General features: G+C 48.4%; 1 protein-coding gene across 16 annotated transcripts in view, besides 1 other annotated feature; it reads left to right on the plus strand.

Annotated features, from left to right (window-relative positions):
- The window catches only part of PTPRE (protein tyrosine phosphatase receptor type E), a 178,753-nt gene that overhangs the window by 90,965 nt on the left and 60,945 nt on the right, over positions 1–26,843 (plus strand). Inside the window, exon 1 of one of the 16 annotated variants that reach the window (NM_001323354.2) lies at positions 80–1,894. The exons of the other annotated variants lie outside the window; for them this stretch is intronic. The gene's annotated coding sequence lies outside the window, so the exon portion shown is untranslated. Of the gene's footprint in view, positions 1–79; positions 1,895–26,843 lie in introns of those variants that run through there. 16 annotated transcript variants of the gene reach the window in all.
- Positions 24,636–25,136: an enhancer, noted in NCBI's record as "H3K4me1 hESC enhancer chr10:129820967-129821467 (GRCh37/hg19 assembly coordinates)". NCBI's record gives its function as "activates a minimal SCP1, AML or CMV promoter by ChIP-STARR-seq in naive H9 embryonic stem cells {active_cell/tissue: H9 hESC(naive)}" and the evidence as "EXISTENCE:reporter gene assay evidence [ECO:0000049][PMID:30033119]".

Raw genomic sequence — 26,843 nt, forward strand, 5'->3', positions numbered from 1 at the left:
ACTGCACCATCACCATGACAACCAGTGGAAATAATGGCCCCCTTTGGGAATAAAAGAGATCTCAAATCCTGTTGCAGTCAGTAGCGCTGGCTGTCTGCAGTAGAGATGGTTTTCAATGATTGTTTCAGAAATTCCTTATCAACAGAAAATGAACGAGACGGGGAGTTTTCAGAAAATAAATGGATTTGCAGACAACTTAACGTCATCATCGAAGTCACCAAAGAAAGCAAAGCAGCGACTGGGGAAGCTGAGGCTGAAGTAGCAAGGGCATGCCACCCAGGCTGCTATTCCAGTCGCTGTGAAAGCCTGGTCACTGTCTTTGCCACGCAGAACACATCTCTGGGAATGCTGTCGATCTATGCCTCCATCTTTTAAAGGCTTTCCATTTCTGTCTGGATTTTTTCTTTATGGGAGGCAGAAATAATAGTGAATTGAATGAAATGGAGTATATAAGTGTCTAGCACAGTCCTTGGCACATAGAAAGTGCTCTGTAAACAGTACTTCGCATCAAATTCTTGGGATGAATGAAAGTGAGTGCCTGGCGCTGCACATAAGAAAAGACGTGGCAGCAAACCATCCTCCCGACATGACGTGCTGCGTTGGTGCGTTTACGTCCCTGTTCCTTCTGAAAGACTCAAAATTGTGTTGGAGCTACTGGTGCACCTTTGTAAGACCTGCACTAACGACCGCGCCACTGGGAAGGGCACTTCTTTATGAAGTCGCCGTATTCCCAGGGAGACTGGTCAACCCATACAATGTGAAAAAAAAAGAAGCTATGTGAAAAAATATTCCCCTTTGTCATAGAGAAGGAGAACTTGGTGAGGCTGGGCAGCTGCAGGAGCCTCAGTTTTTCAGATAACAGAACAGAGTAGACCTTGAGGGTCCATTTCCCTTTTTGTTTTAGGAAGTGCTGTAGAAGGGGGCAAAGAGATCTTTGATATGAGAAGGTATTTCTTCAAAGCAGCATCGTGCCTGAAATAGCATTGTTCTTTACGCTGAGAGAGGAGGAAATGGGAATTTGGTGTTCAACGGGTTTAAAGTTTCAGTTACAAGAAATGGACAAGTCCGAGAGCTCTGCTGTGCCACATCATGCCTAAAGTCACCGAGACTGTGTTGTACACTTTTTTGTTAAAAGGTAAATCTCATGTTAAATGTTGTTACTACAATTAAAAAGAAGCCCTAGGCTGTGTTTGCAGAAAGGCACTAACCATACATGTGCTCAAGAGCCCTTTTGTGTTTTCTTCACTTCATGTTGTAGTTCAATTTAGTTTTGCTTTGCAAGGATCCTCGGAAAGTGTATCATCAGCAATGACTTTTATTTTAGAACTAAATGTGAACCACGGGGGGAATCATGATCGACATTGCTCGTTGTCCTTTCTTCCTCCCTGTGGGCTGTGAATCCAACTCGTCCTGGGAGCAGGGCGCTCTCGCCTTCTGTTCCTCTCCGAGCTCAGTGCACAGAAGCATTCTGCTTACCCAGCTGGGACTGCTGACTGCACCATCGAGCACGCAGGTTGCACTGTTCTCAGCAGCTACACTGGATTATATGCCGCCTTTCTTACTGACTGATTATGAACTTAAAACAAATTCACTCTGCTGCTGTGAATTATACATTTATTTTTAAGCATTTATTTCAACTCGAGATGAGCGGTCTCTCCTGTAAATTTCTCCCTGCTGGATCTTTGCTCTGGTTTCTGGTGACATAGTGTGAGTGCCGGCAGCCGCGAGCCTCAGAAGGAAAATTACAAAGGGAATACTCAGTAAATGATGTATTGCCTTTCGCATCAGTAGCCTGCTTGGAAATGTTCAAATTATCAGCCCAGGAGACTCCAGTGCTGTGGACATGGGTCTGAACGAATTGATCACCTAGGGGCTACTGAGAACGCGGTGCTCTGTAAGTATCCATGGATGCACAGCGCAGACGCGGAAAGGGATCCCCAGAATGTTCCTTCTGTTGCTGGTTTAGATTGTGAGGAAAAAATGCATTTTCCATGAGTCTTTAACTTAGTATTAAATGTTGTTACTGGTTGATAATTTAGGAATGTCACAGCAGTTCTATTCCTTGTCAACTCTGCTTGAGCCTCTCTCCCGGTTTCTAAAATGTAACATCCATTAGTTGGTGGGGTAACAGTTTGGTTCAAATGATTTTCTGCCTGTTTTATGTCTTCATTAAATTGATACTTAACGTATAAGTAATCCCTCTTTCACCTAAAATAAAAGAGCTAAATTTTCTTTAAGCAAACAGAACACCCTTAGAATTTTGGACCCGCACCCTTCAACTAACATGAAAATGTTAGATTCATTTTGGGAAATATTTTATATGGAAGCTGACTAACCAATGATTTGAAATGTCACAACACAAAATTGGAGGGGAGATTTTCTCTAGCTGCGTTTCTTTTCTCTCTCTCTCTTTTTTTAGAAGCATACTGCTTATAGTTTAAGACCATATCCTAGTGAATGAATAGCCCAAGTTCTCAGAGACTGTATATTTGATAAATGCTCAAATTGTTTTTAAATTGCTAATGCTCCCATGTGGGTAAGCTCAGATATATTATAGCTCACCTATGAATTGGTTTTGATACTTATGATGAGAACAGACTTCCTGCTGAGAATAAATATTAGATTTCATTCTATGTGGTACTTCGTTTAAATCAGTTTATCCCTGAACCTTGGTTTCTTTCCTACAAAGTGAAGGAGGCCCTACAAGCTCTTGCACTGCACTCAGAGGAAGAGTCGTCCCTGGCACTGTAAGAATTCCACCAAGCCTCACTCACTTGGGCAACTGCCCAGAAGGGCTCAGCAGTGTTCAGACACCTCATGTCTCAGTAGGTGACCGTGCCCTTGGACAGGAAGCTACCACTCCAGGGCCGTGCTCTCTCCATTCAGAGTCATGGATAGTAGGAGAGTCTTTATAAATCTGAACTCTGCATGTACCATCATGAGTGGCTACAGTTCACTCTCAACATTTGCTGTATTTTGTTCACACTAAGAGAGAATATTTGGCTATTTCATATTAGAGAAACTAGGCTAAAACAACTAATCACGTTTTACCTGTAATGTGAAAGGGCTTCCATTACCTTCTAATCAACTTATGTTCCATCCCAGTTACTCTGTGTGCAGAGAGATCTGAGTGTGTGTGTGTGTGCATGTGTGTGTGTGTACTATGTGTGGGACATCACATGGAAACCAGGGAAGGAATGCATTTATAGAAGTGGGAAGTTCTCAGGAAGTCTTCAGCTTTGGATCTGCTTTCACACTGAGCACTTGGTGTCAGTGTGCTGGAGAAAGGCTGATAGTAAGTAAAGTGTAGGCACGGCTAGGGCGCCGGAACTTTCCTTGCATAGTATTTTATCCCAGTCACGCACTGGGGGATTGTGGACATTTTGTCAGACCCCCATTTTAATGGAAATTTAAATCCTTCCACCCCCGGAATTGCTTCTTCGGGGCTGTTCAGTGCTGCTGTGTGGTTCAGTGGCCTGCCCTCGTCCCCAAGAGTGCCTCCTACTTCAAAACCCCAGGCCGACCCCCAGTACAGTGCACAGGCAGGGGCTGGCAGCTGCTCAGGTCCCCTGTTCCTGGAGGAAACTCCTCATAGAGGCAAATTAAGGATTATGCCCTCGCTTTTCTGACCTAGGGGTCTGCCATGGGATGATGACATGTTCTGGGAGATAACGTATGGGAAGGTTCTTAGTATTAGGAGCTGCGGAAACCAGGATGCTGTGGAAACCAGCCACATGTTAGCTGGGCAAACGTAAGAAAGCACGCTGTCATCTGGAGTAAGGGGCACTGGAAACATCACCGGGGCCCTATGGGTTGAGAAGGCTGTGGGCTCACCTGGTTTCTCCTCTCTCCCGTCCCTCATCAGTAAACCCCATGACCCTTTGGCAGCAGCAGGGGAGATGGCAGTGTTGCCTCTCGCCTGATCTCTGCAGGCTGGAGGGCTGTTCTGTCGCTGGCTCTGCTCGTACTTGGTAGAGCACAGCCACTGCCTCGGGAGCACAGATCCAGGCCGTGCCGAGGCAGGACTGTGAGCCCCAGTTGTGGGGACCTCCGGGGCAGCCACGGTCTCAGCCGTCGCCCCCGCTGACAGCCAGAGCCTATGTGTCTGTGGAGGGAAGAGCAAAGCTGTCAGCATGAGTATGTGCATATTCAGCTGACCCTGGACTGCTCCTGCCTGTTTATTTCTGCTGTGACCTCAGGGTGCTGCGGGCATCGAGGGGGAACAAGGCCATCAGGAGGAAGTGGGCAAGGACAAAATTATTTCCGGGGAGTTTGTATAAAGGTGGTCATTTGCAGGGGAGCTGCCTAGGGAGGGGGCAGGGAAGACACTGCTGTTCAGGAGGAAGTCAGTAGTGGGGAGCACCCTCTATCTAATTCCAGGGGCCCTACCAATCAGAACAGGTGCCAAGGAAGGAAGATGCAGCAGTGCGTAGGTAGGCAGGAAAAGTCAGTGATACCAGAAGGATGGATACAGGAAGGGCCAGGGCCTGCTCCTGGCTGCTGGAGCCCTGCGTGGCACATGGCGCAGGCTCAGGCAGCCATGTCTGAATGGCTGAAAATGATCTGATGAATGATGCAATGTCAATTGTCTTTGCAGTGTTTGGGAGTCACATATCTTTTTTTTTTTTTTTTTTTTTTTTTTTTTTTTTTTTTGAGACAGGGTCTTGCTATGTTACCCAGGCTGGAGTGCAGTGGTGCGATCACGGCTCTTGACCTCCTGGGCTTAAGCAGTCTTCCCACCTCAGCCTCTCAAGTAGCTGGGACCACAGGCGTGCACCACCATACCGGACTAATTATTTTTATTTTTTGTAAAGATGGGGTCTCACTTTGTCACCCAGGCGAGTCTTGAACTCCTGGCTCAAGTGATCCCCCTGCCTTGGCTTCCCAAGATGCTGGGATTACAGGCATGAGCCACTGTGCCTGGCCTGGGAGTCATATGTCTTATGGATGTTGGGTTTTGTGCCTCTGCAGATATGCATGCACAGATAGACCATTTACAGTCCTGAAGAGCAGAGTGGGCTGTGGCTCAGACACTGGGTTCAAATCCTGGCTTGTCACTTCCTTCCTGACCTCGGGAGGTGACTTGACTGCTGTAAGGTAGTATCCTCCTCATTGGTGATGAGAGACATAGCTGAGATGATTCTTATAAACCACTCAGCACACGCCTGCACGTGAGTGGGCCCCATAGAGTGTAGCTGCTGCTGTTGCGGCTGTTTCCCTCTCTGTGTTCTCCTAATCACACTGGGTGGTTGTCATTTTTTATTTCACTGGGAAAAAAAAATTTAAGTCAGCTGTACTTTGGGAAAAGAGATGTTAAAAAATGTTTTCCAATACATTAAAAATATTAGCACTGTTGATTCTTTTAGAATCATGCTGTCTAACTCTTACTTTGAAACTATACTCTGTTACATTCATCCTGGTGATACTGTTTAACAAAAAGGAAAAAGAAAAAAAAGAAAGTAGCATAATAATATCCATAAACAGTTTTTAAGTGTGAAATAATCCTGAATAGCTAGAAAATTCAGAGGACATTTTGCACCATGCATTTGTGGCAGTTCACGCGCGGACATCAGGCTCTGGAATTCTGCCAGTGTTTTAAAATTAGAACTAAAGAAATGCGCCCCAACTTAATTAGTATAAATGTTGCCGTGCAACTTCTAATAATGAGTGTAATTTGCAATACATGCTCACCATGTAATTTAGCACAATGGGGCCCGCAGACTGTAGGACTAGTGTTTAATCAAGAGAAATGATTAATACAGAAAGGAACAAAGTTTAGCAATTGGAAGCCTTTGCAGGGGCCTCATGGATGCCCATTCGGATGCTCCCATTTATATCACCCCATTGGCAACACCCCACCCATTCCCACCCCAGCGCGTCTGCCAGGACCACAGAGAGGAAGCCATGTCATCTACTTAGCTGTAGGACAATTTACACATGAGTGGGTGCCTCAGTTTCCTTCTCTGTAAAATGAAGGTGATAATGGTCCTAACCTCTTATTGTTGGGGGGATTAAATGGGTCAATGATGTGAAGCACTTAGAAAGGGCAAAATGTGCTGCGTGCAACAAATGTTAGGTGTTAATAACGATGATACTACCCTTATGATCATCTTTCAAGAGTCATTCTCCATGGGGATCTTGGATGCCAGGCTGAGGAGGGTGCCCTTCATCCCAAAGCGCAGTACATGTTGGTCCTGGGGTGATTTATCTTTATTGAGGTAAAATTCACATAACATAAAATTCACCGTTTTGTACATTCACAGTGTTGGGCAGCCATCACCTCTACTTAGATACAACATATTTTCATCATCCAAAATGAAACCTGAACCCACTAAGCAATCAATCTCCATTTCCCCCTTCTCCCATGCTGGCAACCGCCAATCAGCTGTCCATCTGTATTGATTTACATATTCTGGATATTTTCCATAACCATCCAGTATGGGACCTTTTGTGTCTGGTTTCTTTCATGTAGCATTTGTTTTGAGGTTCACCTGTTCGGTAGCATGTATCAATATTTCATTCCTTTTTAGGCTGAATCATATCTCATTGAGTTACTGTGTTTTGTTTACTCATTCATCAGTGGATGAACTTAGGTTAGTTTCTGCCTTTTGGCTATGATGAATTATGTGCTATTACGATAATCATGGATGAGTTTTTCTTTGAACACATTTTCAGTTCTTTTGGATATATACCTAGGAGTGGAATTTAAACATCATTTTATGGTTAAATTTTGAGGAACCATTAAATCTTTCCGTGGTGGCTGCACCATTTGAATTCTTACCAGCAATGTCTGGGGGTTCTAATTCTTCTACATCCGTGCCAACACTGGGCTTCCTTTTATTTTTTTCTAAATTATAGCCATCCTAAGAGATGTGAAGTGGAGTGTGATTATGGTTTGGGTTTGCATTTCTTTAATGAATAGTGATGGTGGGCATCTTTTCATGCACTTTCTGGCTGTTTGAATGACTTCTTTGGAGAAGCGTCTATTCAAGTCCTTGGCCTGTTTTTTGGGTTTATTTGTCTTTTTGTTGTTGAGTTGTAAGAGTACTTTATGCATTCTGGCTACTACGTCCTTACGACATAAATCATTTGAAAATACGTTTTCACATTCTGTAGGTCATCTTTTCACTTTGCTGACGCTGTCTTCTGATGCACAAAAGTCCTGAGATGATTCTAGACAGAGACTGAGCATAGTGATGAAAAACATTGCATCATAAAGGGAAAGACTCCTTCCTCTCTTCGTTCTCTTCCACCCTTCCGTATACCCAGAGAGAAAGGCTCAGCTTGGTGCTGGTGTGGCCTTAACACCCATTCAATCCTTGCTCATCTACCTTTTTCACAAAGAGAGAACAGGCTCTAACCCAAGAGCCTTACACAGGGCCAGCCAGGAAATTCATAGTCTGTCTTCCCCATCTTCACTGGTGATACTCGGCCTCCTATTTATACTAATGACAAAGAGTTTTAACATAATGTATTTGATGTCTGAAAAAATGGGTGAGTGATATGATAAGGCTTGTGAGGGTGCTAAGAGAATAGCAGAGTGTGAGAACTGCTGCTGGACACCTCTGGGCGTCCCCGAGCAGGTGACAGATGGGGGATGCCCAAGGACCCTCAGTCTGGTGATGGGATGTGGGGCAGAGGGAGGACGCTGGGCAGGCCGGCCATAAGCCAGCAGTTTACTGGAAATGTAATGGCTAAAACAATAGAGGTGTGTGGTCCCGCAGTTCCGGAGGCTGCAAGTCTGAAGCCAAGGCGTCGGCAGGGCTGTGCTCCCTTTCAAGGCTCTGGGAGGGATTCTTCCTTCCCTCCTCCAGAGTCCATTGGGTCCCGCAGTCCCTGGCATTCCCCAGCTTGTGGTTGCCTCCCTCCAGCTTCCACCTCCATCTTCATGTGGCCTTCCTCTCAGTATACATGTGTGTGCCACCTCCTCTTCTTATAAAGACACCAGTCATTGGATTAGGGTCCACCCTAATCCATGATGACCTCATCTTAACTAACTACATCTGCAATGACCCTATTTCTAAATAAGGTCACATTCTGAGGTTCCAGATGGTCATGAATTTGGGGGACACTGTCAACCCCCAGTACTGCATTGTTTGCAGCTGGCTGATGACCCATTCCCACTGAAGGTCTTGAGGCATGACTGACACCACTGAGTTTCCCAAAACCAACCTGGTGCATCCACTTTCACTCTGAAGTTCTGACCTAAATTGGCATTGGCACCATCAGGGTCCCTGGGTATTTCACAGAAGAGCGGGGAAGCAGATTTTCACAGACAAGGTTCAACCTGAGCACAGGAATTGTACGCCTAATCACCTAATCAACTTGTAGGTGCCTCTCAGGTACTTAACGTTGACTTGAAAATCATTGCTTAATTTAGGTCTGTTTCCTGTCTGAACTAAATAGAGTCCAGGAGGTTTATAGTCTTTCATGCTTGCTAAATTGTGTTTTACTTGGCTTCCAACTAAAAATGAGAGATCAAACTATACTTACGCTATGTTGATACAGAGTTCCGTCTTTATTGCAAACTTCACCACGTGGAGCTGGAAGACGTCTGAGTTCAGGGATCATGTTTTTGTCTTTGTTTGCCTGACTCTGCCAGACCTGGGGTACAGCAGCAAGGAGACCCATAAACATTTGGGGGGATAAAAGAATAGAGAAAACATAGTCCGGGTGAATGAAGGGGCCTTTCCTGCACCCCAGAGATGGTGTCAAGTCCCACAAAAGACTCTTTTATACCAGAAGAAAAGTATTTCTGTCATGGCTCTGCCATAAAGTATTCTCTCTCCTCCTTCCAACCTCCCCATTGTCACTGAATTTCAAATAAAATGATACTCTTTGCTCAAAAACGACACCAGAGTTTGATACAGCTCAAGTACAACTCCACGGCTCCTAGTCAGGTCAACTCTTATTTGACCTGAACATTGCTAAGCACAATTGAATAAACTCAAACTCTCACTGCCTATTTCCTATTTTCCCATTACCTGATTTTCTAGAAGATTGTGACATATATTTATTTTGAGGTTTCTCTCTCTCTCTTTTTTTTAAGTAACCAAGCAAGGGGTTCTCTCTCAAAAGACATACAATTCTGTGGCTCTACATTGATAAATATTTGAGGGGATGTGGCTGAGTGTTTATAGAGACCTGGGTGGGGGAAAAATACTGCTCAACTCCAACCTTTTTTCATAAACCTTTTGGCTAGTTCATTCACTCCTTGAACAAATATTTATGAAGCACTTATTTTAATGACGCAAGGGTTTTTCCAGGTAGGCCAGAATTAAAATTAAGTTCTGAGTGGAGATGTTTAGAATCCACAAACCACACAGTATTAACCTCTGTTAGTGCCAAAATAATCCATGGATATTATTTGGGTAGGGGGAGGAGTTAAAGTAAATATTTCCAATGGATTTCTGGAATTTACAAAATGTGTGTCCATTTATCCTGAAAGGGGATGTTTGTCTGTTTCAATAGAGCTTCCCATACTTGTCCCGATAAAATCTTACAATGTTTCAGAATAATTCCCACGTCTTATGAGCTATGACCCTGGAGATGTGGGTTTCTGAAGTCTGGTTGCTTTCACACTGCTGGGATTTGAATTCAGGCTCTGCCGTTTTACCAGCTGAGAAGCCTTAGGCAGATTACTTAACCTCTCTGATCCTCAGTGTGCACAGCTGGAAGGCAGGCACCATGAGAGTCTTGTACTGTCTCAGAGAGCTGCTTTGGGATCAGATGTGTTCTGTAGAGAAAGCGCCATGAAGACATCATGCCCTGATCAGCATCCGCATCTTGACTTTTGCTCATCTGTGCAACTTGCTCGGCTTCTGTACATGATTGTCTCTGAAATAAGAGGGCACCTTCTGCCTCACACACCTTGTTCCTACATTGATAAACCCTCCTACATCCCAATACTGACTTAGGGATGGAACCCCGAGCTTCTCATCACACCTGCTGCTTACAGGGGTTGCACTGGGGCTGGTAGTCAGCTTCCTCCAGGAAGAAGGCATCTCTCACCACTGGGGAGGCACAGGAGGCACCACGCCACGTGTGCCTGTCTGCAGAGTCCCCTGCCCAGGGTACATGCCCCTGGGAAAACTGCCCAAGGGAAACAGTGCATCCACCATCTCTGTCTGCAGCCCCGCTGGCTCGTCCGCCCTCGCCTCCCTCCCTCCCTTTCACCCTCCCTCCCTCTCTCCCTCATTCCCTCCCTCCCTCCCTCCAGGTGCCTTTGCAGCCTCAGGGCATTCACACTGCACCTCTGGCCTCCTCCTGGAGCTTCTGGAAGGTGAGATAAAGTCCCTGGGATGCCAAGCTCTCTCTGGACCTGAAAAAGCCTCCCATCAAGGAGAGAAATCCTAGAGATGCTTAGCAAAAGTTTCAGTAGCCAGGGATAATGTCAAACAGCCAGTCCCGGGTTTCTAAACCCAGTTGATCAATATCCCCTTTATTCTAGTAGGTCAGGGGACTCTGGAGTTGGGGGTGGTATTTCCTGGGAGACAGCCAGCCTGGGCTAGTGGAGCATCCCGCCTTTGCTTTTGGTATGGGAAGGAGCCCGACACACCTGGTCTTTCTCAACTCCTGCAAGTCACGTCTTCCCAGAATCTACTGTGGTAATTCCGGCCAGGACTCAAGGATGTAAGAAGTAGGAGACGCAGGATCAGGGGCACAGAGCTGCCAGCCCTTTCTCAGAAGCACATCAGCTGAATAAATGCACCAAAGCCTCCAGGCATCCAGCCTGTGTCCTCATCCTGCCAGGGCCCCTGCTCCTCCTGTCACTGATGAATGCAGCCAGTCAGTCAATCAACAAACCTGCATGAATTCAGTGCCCAGTGCTAAGTCCCAGAAGTGACAGAGAGACAGAGAGAGGAGTCTCTGGTCTGGCTGGGGCTGGGTTACTTTGTTTCCTGCAAATCTTACCAGGAGTGCACCTTGTCAGTCAGGGGTTGCTTGGAAACTCAGTCCTGGAGGCCCGGCCAGCTACAGTGTCACCTCCAACATGGTGCTGGCTGTCACCGCAAGCCACAGAAGCACCTTTTCTCCTGGCAGCTGGGAGCTGCAGCATCCAGGAGGGGTCTCACTGTCCAGCAGCCTGCACATTCTGGAGGTTCATATCTTTGGGACTGAAAATTGGGGTCCCCTTTAAATTTCCGTCTCCTGCTCAGGAATGTCAGTGCATAATAAGAGAAATAAAATGGATTTTGTTGCCTTCTCGTTTGGTTGCCTTTGAGCCAACATATTTTAAAGTGTTTGTTTACATTCCAGAAAAGGGTAAAACATCAACGGCAGGTGAGCTTGATGTTCTGTTAATTCCTGAGAGATCAGGGATGTTTTCTTGTGTTCGTGAACAACTCGGGGAGAGCTGAAGGGTGCGGCAGGTTCTGTGAGACTTGGTCTCTGCTTCAGGGCACGGAGCTGACATTTGCAAAGGCCCCCTGTGTGCCAGCCAGTGCCAAGGGCATGCTTCTTCCCTGTGGAGCTTCCCCCGAGGTGCAGCGAGGTCACTATTGTGCCTGTTTTACTCTGAGCCGGAAAGAGCTGGCCCAGAGCTACACGGCTGGTGGACTGGAGCTCGGGTCGTCCTGAACTTGTGGCCCAGGCTCTTTGCAGTGCGTGTGCTGCAAAGGACAGCCCTGAAAGATGCTGAAAAGAATTCAGTCATTTAGGTTTTAAAACTTGGGCTTTCCCAGCTCCTTCATTGTTTAAATATCACCAATGAAATGGAGGAAATTTATTTAGCACATAATTGTAGTCTCGTTTCATATGAAGACAACAACATTTCTCTCTTGTTTCTGAGTGGTGGCCTCACCCCCCTCCATGGCCAGGAGTCAGGGGGACATATGAGTCACCGTCCAAGCCCTGACCCTTATGAGAGAAAGCAGGCAAGACTGATAATTGCACTGAGCAATGACCATGAGCTGAGATGGTCTGGAACTCACAGGGGCACGTGGTCACCCTATTTATAGAACATCTTACAGTGATGAGGGCCATTCATTCATTCATTCACTCACTCACTTATTCATCCCTCAAGTCCTTCTGGGCAGCCCCTGGGTGCCAGGCCCTTTGCTGGCCGTAAACCAGGCCGACTTGTCCCCAGCCCTTCCAGCCTGGATACCTGAGTGGGGGTGGTTTGTAGCCCCTCTGTTCTCACACCAGAGATTACTTCCCATTTTATAGGTTGCCAAATGTACATGAGCGCCCACACACAGAAAATGGCAGAGCCCAGGGACTCTGAAGCCTGGTGGTTGAGGTATGCCCAGCCTTTGCTAAAGACAGCAGAGAATAGCTTGGCTTGGGGAATTGAAATTTTTTCTTGCCTGAGAAATATGAGAACTCCTCCCTTTGCCGGGGCACAGATCCCATCACCACCAGGTCAGGGAAGAGACCATGCGGTTCCCAGCCCAGTGCTCTCTGCCTTTTTCTCTCTCCTACTTCCTTCTCCTCTCAACTTTAGATCCCCAGCCACAACCGTCAAACCCTGTTCCTTTTCTTTTCTTTTCTTTTCTTTTCTTTTCTTTTCTTTTCTTTTCTTTCCTTTTGAGATGGAGTCTCGCTCTGTCGCCCAGGCTGGAGGGCAGTGAGGGCAGTGGCGCGATCTTGGCTTACTACAAGCTCCGCCTCCCGGGTTCACACCATTCTCCTGCCTCAGCCTCCTGAGTAGCTGGGACTACAGGTGCCCGCGGACACGCCCGGCTAATTTTTTGTATTTTTAGTCGAGATGGGGTTTCACCGTGTTAGCCAGGATGGTCTTGATCTCCTGACTTCGTGATCCACCTGCCTCGGCCTCCCAAAGTGCTGGGATTACAGGCGTGAGCCACTGCTCCCGGCCTTAAACCCTGGTTCCTTAAACAGCTGGTAACCCATCCATTAAGCGGAAGGCAGGCAGAAGGTTCGTGTCCCAGGAGCCACCCGTCTTCCTGAATTGCCACCCCTGTCCTAAGCATGACACTTCATTTGTACATACTTTGAGTTATAGTCTCCAGAATAATTAATTTTAATATTTATGGAAGAATCGATTCCGTGGGAAGAAAGCCAATTTCCTGAACATGGCATGCGGTTTAATGGGTAATTCTCTCTGTCATTCTAGGCAAGAAAAGTCCATTTGGGTGTTAAATTTCTTGGCTGGGGTAGAGATAACAGACCCACAGATTGTAAAATTCCAGGCTGGGACATGGGTGTGAGGATGACTTTTGGGAATTCAGATGAATCTTAGAATGCTAGTTCCTAATTAATCACTGTAACACGGCGAGTGAATGGAGAGGAAAAGCTATTTAAGAACAAATGTTTGGGCATTGGTGAAGTGGTTACGTTTCTAGAGTGATCCTGCAAGGATACTGGTTGAGGTGACTGGGGGACCCCGGAGGAGGCGCGGGTTAGGAAGGTTCTGAGCGTGGCCTGGGCGCACCAGGCGGGTGCGCGGTAGACGTTCCTGTGGCTTACCCGACGGTGCCACCTTCTGGTCACCTCTGGCATAGCACCCGGGCTTCAAGCTTGGCGCATGCGCGGAAGCGTCCCCGTAGCCCGACCCCATCCCTAATGCTTCCAAATTCAGGTGCTAAGTTGAGCCCATAAAATGCAAAGTTATAACACCATTTCACTAGAAATTCCTTTTAGGACACTCCTGTCACTCTATGCTTCCTCTATCTGTCCTGTTGGGCTGTGAGCATCCTAGGGGCTCCCCCCTCCACCCCAAGAGGGTGCCATGGCTGGTGCCCAGCCAAGCTCAGCAACTGTGGGTGCCTCACACGTGCCAGTTCACAGGCGGTGGCCTAAACACCTGGAATGTGGCTGTCACTGTCCCCCTCCCACCAGCTCAGAGCAGAACCTGGGCCAGAGAGTCCACCTGTGTCCTCACCCATCCTAAGGGCGGAAACTGTCCCAAGATCAGAGAAGGGAAAAACCTCTAAGAGACAGATGACATGCCCAGGGTGACAAGATAGACAGCCCAGGTGTGAACCCAGGTCCACCTGTCTCCTGGCTCAGAGTGACAAGATTGTGAGCCTGGGTGTGAACCCAGGTCCACCTGTCTCCTGGCTCAGAGTGACAAGATTGTGAGCCCGGGTGTGAACCCAGGTCCACCTGTCTCCTGGCTCAGAGTGACAAGATTGTGAGCCCAGGTGTGAATCCAGGTCCACCTGTCTCCTGTGTTGGGGCTCTTTTCAGAGTGCTGGCCGCCTCCTGGAGCCTCCCAATGCAACTCACCTTTGCAACTCAAGGGTGATTTTAGGGCAATAAAATGCTCCAGGATAGATCTGACCTTGTGGTCACTCAAGAGTCCAGCAACTTCCTGGCCAATAAACCAAACTTCTCCTTGCCCTGCACCTGTGAGGTCTGGCCCATCCTCCCCATGAGCCTGAGCTAGTAAATATCCAGTGTCACCTGCTACCCTTGCTTTGCTGAGAAGCCCCAGATGAAGCTCCTCACCATGGCAGCGAGGCACCCACCCAGCCTTGGGAGAGAGGCTCATGCCATCAGCTTTGTCCTAACAGCTGTGCTGTTGAACGCCTGGGTTTCTGCTCAGCTCAGGAGTCATTAAGGTGCACCTGCTACTTGCTAGGCATGGACGAGGCATCATTTCCTGTCCTTGGGAGCTTCACAAGAGCAGAGGTGGGGGCTAGCTCTGGTGGCATATTCAGCACCTAGGACACCTATGTCAAATACAAGGATTCCAGTAATTTTTCAAAAGGTTGGCACCAGCCACTCCCCACAACCCTACCTTGAACCCACTGAAGTCTTTTTCAGGGGAGTGTGGTCTCCCAGTTAGACTAGAAATCCCTGGAAGGCAGCAAGGTTGTCGAATCTGGTTAATTAAACAAGGCCTCCTTCCCTGCTCTGTATCCAGAAGACAGTCAGTAAATATTTGTTAAACAAATAAACACATTTCTATTACTGGCTCTTGGTCAGTAAAATCAGCATTTCTTTAAAAATTCATGAGCGCCGTAGTGCTTCCCACTGTGAGAGCAAGCCATGTTATGAAATTGGCATGAATTTTCTATTAAAGAGAAGAGTCTATTTAATAAAATACTCCCAAAGGGTAGCTTTTTGGGTTACTGCTGTGCTGCATTATAATTTTCTATAATTACATGCTGTTGACTGTAGTTTACCAACAGAGTGTCAGTAAAGAAAAACGTAACCCTGGAACTGTATTACTTCAAGTGTGTAGCCTTACCAAATGGAAACTCATCGGTTAGCTGGGTCGAGGGTGGCAAAGAGAGTGTTCTCCGAAGTCGTGAGTAGAGGAAACATAAAGTTGCCCTGCAGCTCTCAATGTGTGCGGTCAAAACAAATAGCTGGGGGGATCTGTTAGGAAACCTGTTGGGATAATCTAGAAATGGAGGGAGAATCCTATCTTGGAGCGCCACTGGGGGCTGCTAGTAGAAAGGAGTTTGATGGACAGCAGCTTTAAGGGGCAGCACCTGCTGAGAAAAGCAATCCTTTAAACGGTCACATGGTAGACAGAGGAGGGATGTGCTATGATCTGAATGTCTGTGTCCCCCCCCAGATTTATATGCTGAAATCTGATCACCAATGTGCTGGGTTGAGGAGGCGGGGCCTTGGGAGGTGATTAGGTCATGAAGGTGGAGCCCTCTTGAATGGGATTAGTGCCCTTACAAAATAGGCTCCAGGGGACCTATTTGTTGAGGACACAGCAAAAAGGTCTTGAACAGGCAGAGGGCCCTCCCCAGACACCACATCCGCTGGCACCTTCATCCTGGACTTCTCAGCTTTCAGAACTGTGAGGAGCTTCTGTTGTTTACCCAGTCTAAGATATTTTGTTATGGCAGCTGGGCTGACTAAGACAGTGTGTAGAGGGAGTTTCCCGAAGGCAGGGCTGTGTTTGTTGTGTTCACCTTTGAATGCAAGTAGGTGCCAGTAAGTAGTGGAATGCATGCATGTGTGCGTGCAGGAGGCTACCACGGAATTAGACAAGACCCAATGTGCCCCTACCTCTGCCATTCTCTTGAAGTGTGCCTCAGGCCAAATTGCCTGTCCTCTCTGGGTCGTGGTCATCTCTGTTCTAGATGAGGATTCTGATCCTCCGTCCCAGACTGGCTGGCAAAGCAGGAGATGCACCACCCTAACAAGTCTGATGAGGACCAGGGCTTTGGCAGGGACCCCAGCTCCACAGGTCCCCTCCAGGCACTGGCAGAGGGTGCGTCCCCTCACAGCTGGGGTGTCCAGGGAGGTTGTGAAGCAGCTTCTCTGAGTTATAAAATATGGAGCGTTCTCTCCTTAGTTGCAATTTGGGGTCAAATGTTCTCCCAAACAACCGGAGGAGCAGTTATAAATAATGCATGCACATTGTTTGGCCCAATTAACATTCTTCAGAAGATGGGGGCAATTCTTTGAAGTCTCTTCCTTCAAACGGCGTGTATCGAGGGGGACATTGACACACCCCTGTTGGGCTGGGCCAAGCTTTTGCCCTAATTAGATATTTACACAAGAGACCCATGCGAGGAGGGCGGATTTATTTTTAATAAAAGAAGATTAAAATCTGTGTATCTGCAGCATATTAAGGAAGACTGAACCAAATTAAAAATTCTCCCACAACTTTGAATAGTGGGGGCCTGGAAAAGGAAGCATTTCACTTGGAATTTACTAAAAGTTGTTGCTTTGAGTCAGGAAGAAAAAAAATCAGCAATCCCCCATCCCCCGTCTCAACCCCAGCTTCACCTTGGCTTGTTGGCGCTCCCAGTGAGGGCACTGGGGGTGGTCAGCGGAGCCCTCTGCATTTGACGAGCCACTATAAACCCAAACCCTGTGGCTGGGCGTCCATTTGTGGAACTGCAGCCCCAGGCTGGTAGGAAGGAGACAGTGGAGATGACATGGCTGGGAATGGGATGGGGTGGGGGCCATGCTGACACTCTGCAAGCTCAGGGACCAGCCCAGAGGGTCACACAAGAGTGCATGCCACACCCGGTCTTCCCGAGAGAAGACAGATCTCCAGACTTTCATGTGGACTCCTCTGATTCTAAATATTTCAAACTAATTTAAAACCTTTGTAAACATATATACTTCCTCTTCCAACCTAGAAATTCCACTTACGGTTGTTGACCCCAAATACATGAAGAAATGTGTCCACAAAAAGACCTGTACCCAAGCATTCATAGCAAAGACCTGTACCCAAGCATTCATAGCAGCTTTGTTTATAAGAGCAAACTAACTGAAACAACTCAAATGTGTATCAAGAGGAGAATGGGGCCGGGCCTCGTGGCTCACGCCTATAATCCCAGCACTTTGGGAGGTCAAGGCAGAAGAATCGCTTAAGCTCAGGAGTTGAAGACCAGCCTGGACAACATAGGAAGACCTCTTTTTTTTTTTTGAGATGGAGTCTCGCTCTGTCGCCCAGGCTGAAGTGCAGTGGCGTGATCTCGGCTCACTGCAAGCTCCGCCTCCTGGGTTCACACCATTCTCCTGCCTCAGCCTCCTGAGTAGCTGGGACTACAGGCACCCGCCACCACACCTAGCTAATTTTTTGTATTTTTAGTAGAGATGGGGTTTCACCGTGTTAGCCAGGATGGTCTTGATCTCCTGACTTCGTGATCCACCCGCCTCAGCCTCCCAAAGTGCTGGGATTACGTGAGCTACCACGTCCAGCTGAGCTCATCTTATAATTAAAAATTGGCCAGGTATGGTGCCACATGCCTGTAGTCCCAGCTACTCACTTGGGCCCTGGAATTCGAGGTTACAGTGAGCTATGATCTTGCAACTGCACTGCAACCTGGGGGACAGAGCAAGACCCTGTCTCTAAAACTAATAAATAAAAGGGGAGAGCTGGAGAGCAGATGGCAGCACAATCACATGACTGTATGCTGTTCTGCAGTCCAAAGGAATGGGCTGCGGTGCCCATGAGAAAGCGGATGGGCCTTGAAGCCTGTGGCACTAGAGAAGCTTTAGGACACGAGCTGCGTGTTTCCACTTAGAGGAAGCTCAAGGGCAGGCAAGGGCATCTTCTCTGGAGGTGGAGATCAGAATGGTGTGGGCTTCCTGGGGTTGCAGGAGGGGACTTTTTGGTAGACTGAAAAGGGACAAGAAGGAGGTGTCTAGGATAGTGACAGATGTTCCTCCAGGGGACCAGGGCATGGACCATATGGGGGTCTGCAGCAGACATTTGCCCAAACTCATCATACCGTAGGCTTAAGGCCCATGCACTTAACTCTATGTAATTACAGCTTTTCAAAAAATGTAAAACTTTCAAAACACAGAACAGGTCAAACCCAGTAATACAGGTCACATTTAGTCAGCGGGACCCAATTTGCAGCTTCTGTTACAGTAAATTTGTACTCTTATGTTAACCAGGCACCCCCAGCCCCCAGGTGGAGAAACATCCTTCACCACCAGCCATCCATGTGGTGAGAACCTAAAACTACTCTAAAAGCATGTCTATTTTTTTAGACCAGTGCCACTATGCCTGGCCAATTTTTTTTTTTTTTTTACTTTTTTAGAGATGGAGTCTTGCTATGTTGCCCAGGCTGGTGAGGAGACAGCTCAGGGTCCAGGGAACAGCGTGGGCCAGGCTGACGGCGGTGAGCAGAGGGCAGTTCAGTGGCCTGGGAACAGCACCCAGGTGGCCGAGATGTGTCGGTCCCTGGGAGGTTGGCACAGCTCAGAGGGGACCACAGGGACAGCCAGAAAGGTCTCATCCCACCAAATCACTGCCCACCCAGTGGCCCCAGTCATGCTACTGTTTTGGATTTGTTGGTATGACTTGCCTTTTCACACAGGTGAGAGGAACAGACTCACCTTGTTTAGCCCAACGTGGCTGAGGCACAGCAGCTTCCTGCCTTCCTGCCGGGGAGACCTGTGGCCGCTGTGGAGCCGGTGCCGCCCTGGCCTTGGCTCCCTCTGCCCCAGACCAAATACTCAGGGGTCCTGTGAGGTCCCTCCCACTCCTCCTTTACCTTAGAAGAGTTTAGGAAATGTGGGTGGAAGATGAGGCACATCTTGGAAAGTGTAAGGCAGACCTCGTCATGCACACGCATTGAGCACCTGCTGTATGCGAGTCAGACTGCAGAACTGAGGGGTCAGAATGCTGGGAGGAGACAGCCCAGCATCCAGTGAGCAGCGTGGGCCAGGCTGATGGCAGTGAAAAGAGGGCAGTTCGGTGGCCTGGGAACAGCACCCAGGTGGCTGAGAGGTGCTGGTCCCTGGAGAGGTTGGCATGGCTCAGAGGGGAATGGATCAAAAGAGTTTGGCGGGGCAAGTGGGGCGGGCATTAAGAACATTAAGAAGAGCTGAGAGCTATAGAAATTGGAGGTAAGAGGCCTGGCACGCTTGCTGGATGGGCCAGTGTGCACATTGTGAGGGCTGCTGCCCGAGCTGGCCTCAAAGAGGAGTCTGGGTTCAACTCCAAGGGCAGTAGGACAGGGTGAGAATTTTTTTTCTTTCTCACAGACATTTTTTAGAGGAGTTTCAGGATCACAGCAAAATGGAGTGGAAGGTACAGAATTTCCATATGCCCTCCCCACACAGGCACAGCCTTCCCCACCGACAACATCCTGAAATGGAATGGGACATTTGGTAATTGGATGACCTACTCTGGGACAACGCAGTCACCCAGAGTCCATACTCTATGCCACTCTCAGCCTCGGTGGCCACATTCTGTGGGTTTGGACAGATTTCCGGTGACCAGGACCCGCCAATGTAGTATCCAAGGGGCTTCACTGCCCTAAAAATTCTCTGTGCACCGAGGCTTTTGGAGGCGCAGAGGCTTTCACTCTGAAAGCTGCAGGGGGCAGTTAGAGGGGTCAGGCTGGAGGCTGTGGTACAGGAGGTGGGTAGGCCTCCTCCCCCAGCCTGGCTCAGACATCCACTGGGCGTCCTTCCACAAAACGACCTTCTCGGAGCTCCACTCGGACTCCACTCGGGCATCCTGCATGCTTCGCATCACACACAGGGACAGGTGAGGGATAAAGTACCCGGCAGGAGCCCACAGGGGCTGTGACACAGGAGGGTCTGGCACAAACTCGCTGGGCTTCTCACGCCCACAACAGATCCAGTGCCTGCCCTGCAGAGCCCAGCAGCCCGGGCTGAGAGTGGAAATTCCCAGAGCAACTGAGAGGGGTGCCTGTTCCGGAGGTGGTAGGAGCTTTGGGGCTGGGGGCGTGGGAGGTAGGAGCTTTGGGGCGGGGGGCATGAGAGTGACTTCTGAAACTCGGCATCCTCTGAAACCTCACCTCTAAATCGCACGGCACATTCCTTCTTGACTCCAGCTGGGCCAGAGGCTCCCTCCCGGCTGCTGGATGCTGCTCCTAGCAGTGCTCATCACAGGCACCAGACCCCCAGGGGCTGGATGGACCCATCTGCACAGCAGTTCCAACTGCATCTCACACACGTTACCATCATCTCGCAGATCTGTGTCATCCTGACGCTTAAATTTCCTGTCTTGTGGTCCAATCAAAATAGGTCTTACTGACCCAGCCAAAATCTATATTCGTGAGGCTTTGACGATGCAGATGTTTCCTGCTATTCCTAGAGCAGGAGGCGGTGTTGGCCGAGGCCCTCGCCAACAGCTGTTCCCAGAGGAGGGGGGCTGAGAGAAACTCGGAGGGAGGAGAGGCCGCCTCCCCACAGCCTCCATCTCCTCTGCGACCAGGGACCCTCACTCTCCTCTGCTGAAGCCTAAAGCTGCTCCCGGCCAGTTCTCCCAGATCAGCACCCTCAGGAAACCTCAAGAGTTGAAAACCAAGACAGCCAGAAAATGGGGGCTTCTCAGCCTAGTGGGGAGTACTGAGCCCTGGGCTCTCCAACCCTCCAAGCCACTCCAGTCCCCATCTCTCACACTCTCTGCATCTCTGTCTCTCTCTCTCTCACACACACACACACACTCACACAGCACATACAGATAGACACACAGATACACAGTGTTTCAGCCCATTTCTACAGAAATGACTAATGTGCACACTGCACCAGGGAAACACCACATTGAAATCAAGGACTCCAGTGGGTCAGGAGCCGAGGGTGCATCCACATTGAAATCAAGGACTCTAATAGGTCATAAGCTAAGGGTGTATTATTTTACCCCAGGCATTGGGGCATCCCCTGGTCCCTGGGCCCCCTCTCCCCTCCCAGCCCCAGACAGGATCGTGCAGCGGTTCCATCAGGACTTGGGAAGCTGAGAGGCCCGACTTCCAATCCCAGCCCTGCCCCTTGCTCACTGCATGACTTGGGCCCATTGCTTGGCCTTTCTGAGCCTCAGTTTCCCCAGCTGGGGGAGTGAAGATGGCAGTTCCCGCCTCATAAGGTTGTGAGGACAAGACAAGAAAACGCGGGTGGATCGTGTAGGCTGACGCCCGGCACTCAGAAGATCTCCACGCGATGCTGTTTTTGCGGGGTCACTGCCCTCCTCTCATCCCAGCGTGGCCTCAGCCACCAGGAGGCCTAGAACTCTGGGAAAGGAGCAGTCAGGACCGGACATGGCTCTAGGCTTTTCTTGTTTCTCTAAAATACTCAGAGTCCAGGGTCCTTCGTGGGATCTGCCTTGAGTAGCCAGAGCTGGCACAAAGGGAATGGGAACCCTGAACACGGGTTTGCCATTCCGGGGCTCTCTGGTGGTGTGTCCTATGTCAGCCCATTCATTCATTCATTCATTCATTAAGCACGTGTTCATCAGCTGCCCCCTGAGCATCCACCATGTGCATTAAGGTTCTCCCCAGGCCTCTGTTGGGCGGGGAGCTCAGCCTGAAGCCAGGCTGTGAGTGGGATGGGAGGGGGTGCCAGACAGGGTCCTGCGAGAGGTGTTGGGCCCACAGCACCCACGGTGCCTCTCCCAGAGGACCCCTGCCCCTCTCATCTGGGCAGTGAGGATGGTTGGGGTGGACGGCCTGGCTTTGCCCAAGCCCAGAGCAATGGTCCCGGTACAGTGATTGTTATTAAGTTCTCAGAGAAATGCCCAGAGTCCCTCAGGTTGGTCGACATGTGTTCCTTGGACTCCTCAAAGGCTTTGCCAGAGGGTGGAGGCTGTGTGTGTGTGTGTGTGTGTGTGCACGCGCGCACGTGTGTGTGTGTGTGTGTGCGTGCACATGCACGCTGGACACAGGGCTGTGGCGTGATTGTCAGATCGGAGGCAGAGTAATTGTGCTCAAAGCAAGAATAATTAATAAGCCCACACTTTTCCACAGCAGACCTTCTTATTAAAGTATCAGAATTTAAGCAGCCCAATGTTGTACATATGGATGTAAATGAGATACACATTGTCCATTTGAACAGCTCTAACTTTGTTTCTGTCTCAAGTGGTACATCTGCACTAACACAAATCCATTTTTTACTTGACTTTGATTTGCTGATTAATATTATGACGCTGAGTTCAGGTATATGATCAGGTTACAAATATAATCAGTTTTTCACTGAATGGCTGTTATTTGGTTTCCAATAACAGAAACCTGTTTAAGGATATTTCAACAAAAAAACAAACAACTGCTGAGTCTTACTGTGGCTCAGTATTTGGGTTTTAGTACAAGAGTAACTAGATAACCCTGGACGTATTCTCTTCTTGGTTTATATTTTTTAAAAAGAAAAGAAAAACAGCTCGGTTTTGACATTAAGGAAATGGCCGGTAGCTTCTGGTTTCTCTGGGCAGCCCTGCTGGGAAATGCTGGTCCTTACTCTTCTGCTCACTGCCCTCCTGGTGTCCCAGTGGTGGGATAATCCAGAGCCCACCTCAGACAAGTTCTAACCCAGATGAGCTCACAGTACTGCCATCCTGCTGCATCCTGAGCGGGCAGTGGGTTTCCAGCGTGGGGCCCCATTGTGGGTGATGGAATTTAGAGGAAGCGGTGTGATTTGATAGGGGTGGTTCAGCCATAGCTCAGCCCTGTGGGTACAGTGTCTTTTTTTTTTCTTTTTTTTTTTCTTGAGATGGAGTCTCACTCTGTCGCCCAGGCTGGAGTGCAGTGGCGCAATCTCAGCTCACTGCAAGCTCCGCCTCCCAGGTTCACGCCATTCTGCCTCAGCCTCCCGAGTAGCTGGGACTACAGGTGCCCGCCCCCACACCCGGCTAATTTTTTTGTATTTTTAGCAGAGATGGAGTTTCGCCGTGTTAGCCAGGATGGTCTCGATCTCCTGACCTCGTGATCCACCTGCCTTGGCCTCCCAAAGTGCTGGGACTACAGACGCGAGCCACCGCGCCCGGCCGAGTGTCTTTTTTTCAGGTGGGATGGTGGTGAACTCAATAAGAGATAATTTTGCACATCAGGCTAGACCCTGCATCTGAAGTGGCAGAGGGCATTCATTCTCCAGGTGCCACACAGGCCTCTGAAGGGACTGTGACCTCCTGGGGGCAGGGGTGTGCTCCCCGACCTCCTGCGAGCCTCCTTAGCACTGAGCAAACCGCCCCCCTCCCCGTGTTCAGGGATATTCGCTGAAATGAGCCAGGTGGGATTTAATGGACTCTGAGTACAACTGTGTAGCCTCAGGTTGCCTTCAGCATCCAGGCCCTCGGGGCACCGCCATGCTCCCCAGAACATGAGCTCTCAGAAAATGCAGTCTGTACCCAGCATTAGCACAATCAGAGCCCTGGTGAGAAGGTGAAACTACTGTCCTTGGCCTCCAAAGCATAGAATGCCCCCAAGCCAATGAGTGGTCATGAAATTTCCCACCTCCTGTTCTTCTCACCAGTCAGTCAGAGACAGCGCCTGCTGTGAGACTGTGCCCCGGAGTCTCACCACAGCAGGTCACGGGACCACAGGTGCCTGCTATGAAGGAGGGAAGACAGGCCAAAAGGCACAGAAAAAATAATCTTGCAGTTCTAAGTTTCTTGCTGTATCTCTTACCACGTGCTTCCCGTGAGGCTGCTTTTGGCTGGAGGGTCAGCTTCTTTGACTCTGATGGCGAGTCTTCATTCCTGTTCGAGGCTTTGATTTCCAGTAGTTGGCCGCAATTTTCAGGACTGATCCTAGAGTATGCATTCAATTATTGATCATCAATAGTTTATTGTCCCATCACTGCGTCTCCCCTGGACGCGGTAATGGAAGTATTGGTTTATTCATGGATCCTGTTTGAAGGACGTGACAAATTGATTTTCTGACACAGCCCAGATAAAGTCAAATGAAAGTCACAAGGTAGAAGAGGTGGTCTTGACCTGATCATCACATTGAAAGTGTCTTTACCATGTTCGGAAGCCCTGGAGAATCTCACAGCACCACCCAGGCCCCTCCTGAGTCGGCAGCACTGAGTCCCCAGGTGCACCTGGCACCCCGCTCCCTGAGAACCACTCAGACAGGACCTGAGACAATGCCCAGTGAGGAAACAAGGCAGGGCCAGGGCTGCCCCCAGGCCTTGTGAAAGTGGGAGCTGTGCTTCTCACAACCTTCCTGTCCCTGAAGGGGGAATCCCAAGGCCCCACTGGGCATTGTCCAGGCGTTTTGTGAAGCTCGGGTCCAGAACAGGAGTTGCCTGGCAGCTTTGGAATCGACGGCCCAGGGCCTGGCCTGCCCCGTGCTGACTCCCCCAGTGAGAGGGAGGCACACACCTCCCTGTGCTCCTCCTGGTCACCCTCCCACAGTTTCACTGGTGCTGCTGCTCTGGACTCTGCCCTGCACCTCCAGAGGCCCCTCCAGAAAGTGCAAGACCATGAGAGGGCCCTGACTCACAGGAGCTCATGTTCAAGTTCAGAGAGAAAAGCAGACAGGGAGGCACACAGCGCAGTGGATGGCCAGCCATCATGGCCAGCGGAGACAGCTAGCAGGGCTTCCCAGGCGGGCACAGGGGCCTGGGAGGGGCGCTGGAGGCAGGTGTGATGCCAGAGCGGAGTCCTGTGAACAAGGGCCAGGAGATGACGGTCGATTGGAAAGAAACCGCCATCGCTGCTCCAAAGTCACCCTTGGAATTGTAGTAATTTTGACAGGCTGTGGCAGCTGAACATCTTCATTAATGTGAAGACAATCATGAAGACAATGAAAATGACTCTGACCACCTGTCCCAGGGAGTAGAGAGCGCCATCTGCATTTGCTACAGTGGCCCCCGTCCGTGGTTCCACTTCCACAGTTTCAGTTACCCACGGTCAACTGTGGCCCAAAATACATGAGTAGAGTGAACAAGATAGTTTGAGAGAGAAGAGAGAGACCACATTCACGTGACTTCCATGACAGTATATTGTTAGAATTGTTCTATTTTATTATTGTTGTTAATCTCTTACTGTGCCTGATTTATAAAATAAACTTTATGTAGGTATACATGTATAGGAAAAAGCATAGTATATATACATTATATAGGAAAAAGGATAGTATATATACATAGTATGTATAGGAAAAAGGATAGTATATATACATAGTATGTATAGGAAAAAAGATAGTATATATACATAGTACGTATAGGAAAAAGCATAGTATATATACATAGTACGTATAGAAAACGGCATAGTAACTGGTCTAAAATAGGTGAGTAGAGTACAAGATACTTTGAGAGAGAAGAGAGAGAGCACGTTTACATGACTTCCATGACAGCATATTGTTAGAATTGTTCTATTTTATTATTGTTGTTGTTAATCTCTTACAGTGCCCAATTTGGAAAATAAACTTTACGTAGGTACATATGTATAGGAAAAAGCATAGTATAGTATATCTGTGGCTTCAGGGGCTCTTGGACCGTATCCCGCACAGATAAGCGGGGAACTGCTCTACATAAATCGATGGTGCTTTCCATTAGAGCCACGGCAGTTTCTAAAGGAAAAAGTAACAAGACTGCAAAAGTATTGAGGGCAGTGTCCTTGGTGTCTGTGAATTGTAGTTTACTTTTGTCTGTGGAGGTTAACCTTGCTGTCTTCAGGGCACGCTTTCGTGATCATAAATAGTCTACTCTGTAATAATATTTTGGTCTTGGTAAGATCCAAAGACTATCCCAAACACAATTATCTTGTCACTGCTTAGGTGGCAATTTTTAATGAGTAAAGGATTCAACCGGTATCTTGGTATTGGTGGTATTAGTGGTATATATTATTTGAAATGACAATCAGCTACTACAAGGATGGGAAAAATTAATTATTGGTAATCTTTGAAACTCATGAAGAATTGTGAGACATTGTACATTGTTCTCAAATTTGAGATTAGGTAAGGAAACCTTTGTCTTTCATCTTTGGTTTTATGTGACCCCCATTCAGGAACGAAGAGTTATCACTTTAAGGCTCTCAAGGGCTTCCTTGCTTTGTTCTTTCAAGACAAGAAGGATAATTTTTCTCTATAGGGAGGAAATGTATACAGTAAAAGTCTAGCTATATATAGTCCATTCTGTCTTATTTGGCCCCAGCTATTATTGTAAGGTTCACTTCTTTAAATGGGTAATTAGCCATTGGGCTTGTTGGTTGTTGATTAAATGAATTCAAGTATGGCTTTAGGGTCTGAGAAAGCGTGCTTTCGAGAAGGTTCCTTGTGTCTCCAGCTATCTGTGGGTCTGTCATCTTTATTGGAATCCAGATAGACTTAATTCTCACAGGATAAGCTCTTTACTTTTTATTCATTTTCAAGAGGACACTATGCGTAATTGGAATTACGCAAATTAGAGGATTAGAGTTTGGCACACAGGAAATTGAAATTATCCCTTAACAGACTTGCTGACTCGCCAGCGTTCTTACCGGTCCTTGGCCTGGGTGGAGTGCTGTTGCGTCCTCGGGCAGACCCTGTGCCTGTGCTGGTCCCACCCCTCAGCATCTGGGCCTGCCCAGTCCAAGCCAGGCAGGGAGCCCCAGGAGGAAGCCCATCAGGGGACTTCCTGCGGCTTTAAAATTTCTTTTGCTTTTTAAAAAATTATTTGATAAAATAAAGTTTGGTGTATAATCCACAGGTGTGCACTTGGGGCTTCTGCAGTGTTTATATAAGAAAGCATTGAGCAGTGGCTCACACCTATATTTCCAGCAC

Source organism: Homo sapiens, chromosome 10 (genome assembly GCF_000001405.40).
Source record: "Homo sapiens chromosome 10, GRCh38.p14 Primary Assembly".
Classification (NCBI taxonomy): domain Eukaryota; kingdom Metazoa; phylum Chordata; class Mammalia; order Primates; family Hominidae; genus Homo; species Homo sapiens.